We start from the raw sequence: 6,611 nt of genomic DNA on the forward strand, positions 1-6,611 counted from the left end.
CAGGGCTTCCCTTTGTGCACCTCCCACCTCACTGAAGCTGGCGAATTCAGATTCTTAGGCCTTGCCAATTTAAACAATATTTATTTAATTTTCTTTATTGTTTGTTTATTCTATTTTTTCATAAATTCAGGGGTTATATGGGCATGTTTGTTACATGGACATATTGCATAATAGTGAGTTTTGGGCTTCTAGTTTGCCCATTAATGAAATAATGAATGTTGTACCCAATAGGTAAATTTTTAACAGTCACCTCCATCCTACTCTCCACACTTTTTTGGTGTCTCCAGAGTCTATTATTTGCCTCTGTATGTCCATGTGTACCCATTGGTTAGTTCCCACTGATAGAGGCAGGAGGCAGGCAAATGCCTAGGCAAATAGGGAAAGGCACCCCAGAGAATCTCTGACCCACTCCACAGGCATGTACACCAGATGTTTTTGTGCAGATAAGGAAGCCTGCACAGGGTCTTCCCTGGGCATGCCTGCAATAGACTGGAGGCCCACATGCACTGGGAGAATCAGGTGGAGCCACCGGGAATTTGTGCCTCATGCAGTGGAGGAGCCTGGCCTCTTCAGCTCATGTGTGGTGGCCTGATATTCAATTTGTGAGGTGAAAACCTGCATGCAGAACCCCTTTTCTTGCTGAGTGCTTTCCTTTCACTTAATAAATTCCACCCTCCTCACCTTTCAATGTGTATGCATGCCTAATTTTTCCTCGTCATGAGACGAGAACCTGGATTTAGCTGAACAAAGGAACACAAAATAATGCATCACCACTTGTAAGTGAAAACATGTAGTTTTTGATGTTCTGTTTCATAGCTACATCACTGATGATAATGGCCTCTAGCTCTATCCACGTTACTGCAAAAGATGGAATTTCATTCTTTTTTAATGGATGTGTGATATTCCATGGTGTACATATACCACATATTCTTTATCTAGTCATCTATTGATGGGCACTTAGGTTGATTCCATGACATTGCTATTGTGAATAAGTGCTTTGAGAAACATACAAATGCAGATGTCTTTTTTATATAACAATTTATTTCTCTTTGGGTATACACCCAGTAGTGGAATTGCTGGTCAAATGGTAGTTCTATTTTTAGTTCTTTAAGAAATCTCCACACTGTTTTTCATAGAGAGTATACTGATTTACTTTCCCACCAACATTGTATAAGCATTCTCTTTTCTCTCCACCTTTGCTAACATCTGGGTTATTTATTTATTTTGAGTTTTTAGTTACCTGACTGTTGTAAGCAGGTATGTCATTGTGGTTTTAATTTTCTTGCCAGATTCTTAATTCTGTCTCTTTGAATGTGGGAGTCGGCTATTATCTGTCTGTGTTCTAGGCATACCACACCTGGAATTTCTCAGGCACTAGGCTGGAGCACGTGTGGGGCTTATCTCATTTATTTCTAATCTAATAATGCTCTTTGTCTGTTGCTTTACTTAACTTCAGGAAAAGCAACCCCCTAGCCCATTTTCACCACTTTTTAGTGAATGCCCGTTGGCCCGTTGGCTATTTTTGGGTTTTTTGTTTTCTGAAGCCCACCAGATACTTCTTTTTGACTCCTTTTACTACATAGATGTGGATATTATTCACATCTTGTGTGTGTTGACAGTCAGTCACCATCTGTTTGCATTTTGGGAGAGTGAAGATAATTTTTCACCTAGGCTAGGATTTTTCCCAAGAGTTTTTGTTTCGTTTTGTTTTATGTGAATACTCAAAATATTTGGAAAAAATATATTTCTGCTTGCTGTTGTTATCTTTCACTAAATCTCCTCCAATCACTTTTAATTTCTAGCCTTACCTTTCTCTTAGACTTTTTTTACTCTAAAGACCAATCTAAAACAATTGGGAAAACTTATCCTGTTGACTCTCATGTCTTTTTAGATGATTTCTATTATAGTCATGGACTATATCATTTGACTTAAAGCACAAGATTAATTGCCTTTATTTTTTAGTCTGTTGTATCCACCTATTTTCAAAGCAGGGCCTGATTCATGACTAATGTTATGAATTGGTGGGTTAGAGTTTCTCAGAGTATCATTAAAGAAGTTAATAATCCTGGCTAGCACGGTGAAACCCTGTCTCTACTAAAAATACAAAGAATTAGCTGGGCCTGGTGGCGGGCGCCTGTAGTCCCAGCTCCTAGGGAGGCTGAGGCAGGAGAATGCTGTGAACCCGGGAGGCGGAGCTTGCAGTGACCCGAGATCACGCCACTGCCTCCAGCCTGGGCAACAGAGCTAGACTCCATCTCAAAAAAAAAAAAAAAAGAAAAAGAAAAAAAAGAAGTTAATAAATGTAGGATGGAGTGTTGAGAAACAGAAGTTAATAAATGTAGGATGGAGTGTTGAGAAACAGAAGATCCATCTATTATTAGATTCCATATCACCTCACAGCATTAAAGCAATTTGTGTTATCCTCAGCCTTTTCCTGGGTACCTGCCAAACTGTTTTCAGATTTTTTTGTTTTCTTCGTATGCACATTGATCAAAGCTTCTAATCTAATGCTTTCTTAGATGTCTGGAAAGTAACCTAATGCCTAAAAATCTATCACTTTGCAGTCTACCTTATGTCATTTGTCTACAAAAATCTGACTCTAGTTATCGTAACAAGGAATCTGTCCAATTTTAAGACAATGACATGAAATCATGTGTTTCTTGTCCTCAGGTAGATCCTAGTCTATGAGGGAAGGAGTCAAGATATGAAATTATTAAACTGACATGAATGATTTTAATAAAAAATGGAACAACAGTGTTATGAGAACAGAGAAATCTTAAACAAAACTAATTCCACATAATGGAAAGATTTGGGAGAATGGCTTTATCAAAAACATGATAGGGAATTCAGTTTACATATTGTATATATATTATGTGTTAAAACCCAGAGGAAGTGTTGCTAAGTTCTGTCTATGCACTTTTTTAGAGAATACATATACACATCAATTAGTAATAAAATCTAAAAACAAAAAATTTCTTTAGGTCATTTCATAAGTTTATCACAATACAATGTGCTATGTACATAGCATATTTTCATTTTCTCTTGGTTAATCTTCTCTAGTCTCCAGTGGAGTTAATTAACTTGCAGTCATTTTTCATGTAAAATTCTTGAAAATTTGATGACCTTTAAAATATAATAGTGAAATAAAAATGTTTATTCTCTGAAGATTTACTGACAATCTAATGAATATTATTTTATAAATTATGACTAATAATAATTATCTTATTTTCCCCAAAGTATCCACAAAACTAGAACACTAAAACAAAATGTAAAAATATAGAATACACCAAAGCACCTTTATTTTATTTATCTTTTGGATAAAAGGTGGCTAAAATTAAGGGCTTTGATAAGTAATTTTATTTAAAATTAAGTGCTTGATTTAATGTGGTAAAAATAAATTTTGAATAGAAAGTCAAACCATACTGATATACTTTGGCTCTGTGTCACCACCCAAATCTCATGTCAAAGTGTAATTCCCAATGTTGGGGAAGGGACGTGGTAGGACGTGATTAGATCATGGGGACAAATTTTCCCCTTGCTGTTCTCATGATAGTGAGTGAGTTCTCACAAGACCTGGTTGTTTAAAAGTGTGTAGCGCTGGCCGGGCACGGTGGCTCACGCCTATAATCCCAGCATTTTGGGAGGCCGAGGCTGGTGGATCGCGAGGTCAGGAGATCGAGACCATCCTGGCTAACATGGTGAAACCCTGTCTCTACTAAAAATACAAAAAAATTAGCCAGGCGTGGTGGCAGACACCTGTAATCCCAGCTACTCAGGAGGCTGAGGCAGGAGAATGGCGTGAACCTGGGAGGAGGAGCTTGCAGTGAGCGCAGATCGCACCGCTGCACTCCAGCCTGGGCTACAGAGCGAGACTCAGTCTCAAAAAAAAAAAAAAAAAAGTGTATAGCACTTTCCAGCTTTGCTCTCTTCCTCCTGCTCCACCATGTGAAGAACTTGCTTGCTTCCCCTTCACACTTCTACTATGATTGTCAGTTTCCTGAGGCCTTCCCAACCATGCTTCCTGTATAGCCTGAAGAACTGTTGAGCCAATTAAACCTTTTTTCCTAATAAATTACTCAGTCTCAGGTAGTTCTTTATAGCAGTGTGAGAATAGACAAATACAGAAAATTCGTACCAGGGAAGTGGGGCATTGTTCTAAAAATACCTCAAAATGTGGAAGCAACATTGGAACTAGGTAATGGGAAGAAGTTGGAACAGTTGGAAGGGCTCAGAAGAAGACAGGAAGATGAGGGAACGTTTGGAAATTCTTAGAGACTTATTGAATGTTTGTGACCAAAATGCGGATAGTGATAGGCACAGTGAAGTCCAGGCTGAGGTGGTCTCAGATGGAGATGAGAAACCTACTGGGAACTGGAGTAAAGGTCACTCTTGCTATGTTTTAGCAAAGAAGCTGGTGGCATTGTGCCCCTGCTCTAGAGATCTGTTGAACTGCGAACTTGAGAGAGATGATTTAGGATATATGGCAGAAGAAATTTCTAGGCAGCAAAGCATTCAAGATATTGCCTGGTTTCTTCTAAAAGCCTACACTCGCTTGCGGCAGAATAATTAATATGATTTGTCTCTGTGTTCCTACCCAAACCTCAGGATAAATTGTTAATTTTCAATATTGGGGGAGGGACCTGGTGGAGGTGATTGGATCACGGAGGTGGATTTCTCCTTTGCTGTTCTTGTGGTAGTGAGTGAGTTAGTTCTCATGAGACATAGTTGTTTCAAAATGTGTAACACATCCCCCTTCACTCTTTCTCTTGTGCCACGTGAGGATTGTGCCTGCTTCCTATTCACCCTTTTCCCATGATTGTAAGTTTTTGTGAGCCCTCACGACCATGCTTTCTGTACAGCCTGCAGAACTGTGAGTCAGTTAAACCTCTTCATAAATTACTCAGTCTCAGGCAGTTCTTAAGAGCAGTGTGAGAACAGACAAATACACAAACCAAAGGAACAAACAAATACACACATGAGGTAAAATAATGTGGCCTCATTTAGGATTCCTGTATTCATTCCACAAATATTTACTGAGCTTCTTCTGTTTGAGAACCACTGTATACAAGAGATATGTTTCTTGCTATAATTAAACATATACCTAAACCTGGAAATATAACAGATGGCTTAAGTAATAATAAATATATATGGAAAAACTATGAAGTGGTATGAGAAAATTTATGGGTGTATTCTAATCTTGAATGGGAGAACAGTGTTGGCTCTTCTGGGAAAAACACGTTTCAGCAGAGCAGTTAGGTGGAGAAGAAAAGAGAAGACACTCTTGTCAATTGAACTACATATCTTAAAGCCCTAGACAGTGAGAAAAAAAAGGAGATTAAAGGAAGAGAGAAAACCAGCATGAATGAATCATGTTAAGAAGTGCAGAGACCTCTACTGTATTAGAGATATTAAGAAGAGGCCAAAAGTAATACTTTGAGCTTTATCCTAAGAAAAATGTGAAGCCTTCAGTGACTTTTAAGAATGATCGCATTTACATTTTAAGAATAGATCAGTGAAACTCCTGCCCTTTGTGAGGCTCTCAGTAAAGCCTTATCAGACAGACTTTCTTATAGATTATAAATAAAATTTGTGAACATAATATAAAATGTAGCTCCCTGAAGGTACCATATAGTAAATATACAGATCCTAGTGGGAAGTAGGTACTCCAAGGAGATAAGCTGTATATGGTGATTTGCAGCTTTTGTTGATTTTATCTCAAGAGCTATTCATAAGATGATTGTGATTATGGAATAAGGTAACATAGGTAAAACTGTCTGGCATAAGATGTTCAATAACTATTACTTATTAAAGTTATTAAGATAAAGTTTCCTTATCCAAACCAAATACTTTAGTTTTTATAAGAGTTGAAACTTCAAGGCTCCTCTGTACATTCACCCTAGATTATTAATTTTGGTAATTAATTATAACGTTACAAATTATATTGTGATAGATAAGTATTATAATATCTATCCATGTATATCACTGCTAGATTTCCCAATACCTCTAAATTTATTCCAATATTTTGGAGATGAAACATTAAGCCTCAGAAAAGTAACTTGTTCAGTGTGACTTAGTGAGGGATACACAGAAGAAATATGGTTTGAACCCACATTTTTATACCCCAAATCCAATGTTTCAATATTAGACTAATTGAGGAAAAATATCAAGTTTCTAAATGCATTGCATTCTAACAGATTTGTTCATATGATTAATGTGCTCTTCAGCAAACAATTCAATATCGTTTTCCTCATGACTTGTGGCATTGATAAAACAAGGAGGCAAACACAAAAACACAAAAATGCTAAAACCCACCAAGGTGAGTTATATGAACAAATCATTTTCTAAAACACTCAAGTTATGGCATGGGAAAGATTCTTGAAGATTAAGTTATATCAAGATCCTCGAGTGAGAATAAGTAACACTGAAGTCTTAGAAATTAACTTCAGCTACCCCTAGGGAAGAGATTGCATGACACACAGTGTGATTTTTATTCTGTGATTTTAACTAATTTAGGATTGATCTGATTTCCATCCTGCTGTTCCTTTCTAAAATATATCAGAATTAGTATGTCAATGAGCTTTGTATTTTAGCAAGTGTTGAATTTGCGATGT

The sequence above is a fragment of the Homo sapiens genome, chromosome 5, assembly GCF_000001405.40.
Source record: "Homo sapiens chromosome 5, GRCh38.p14 Primary Assembly".
Taxonomy (NCBI): domain Eukaryota; kingdom Metazoa; phylum Chordata; class Mammalia; order Primates; family Hominidae; genus Homo; species Homo sapiens.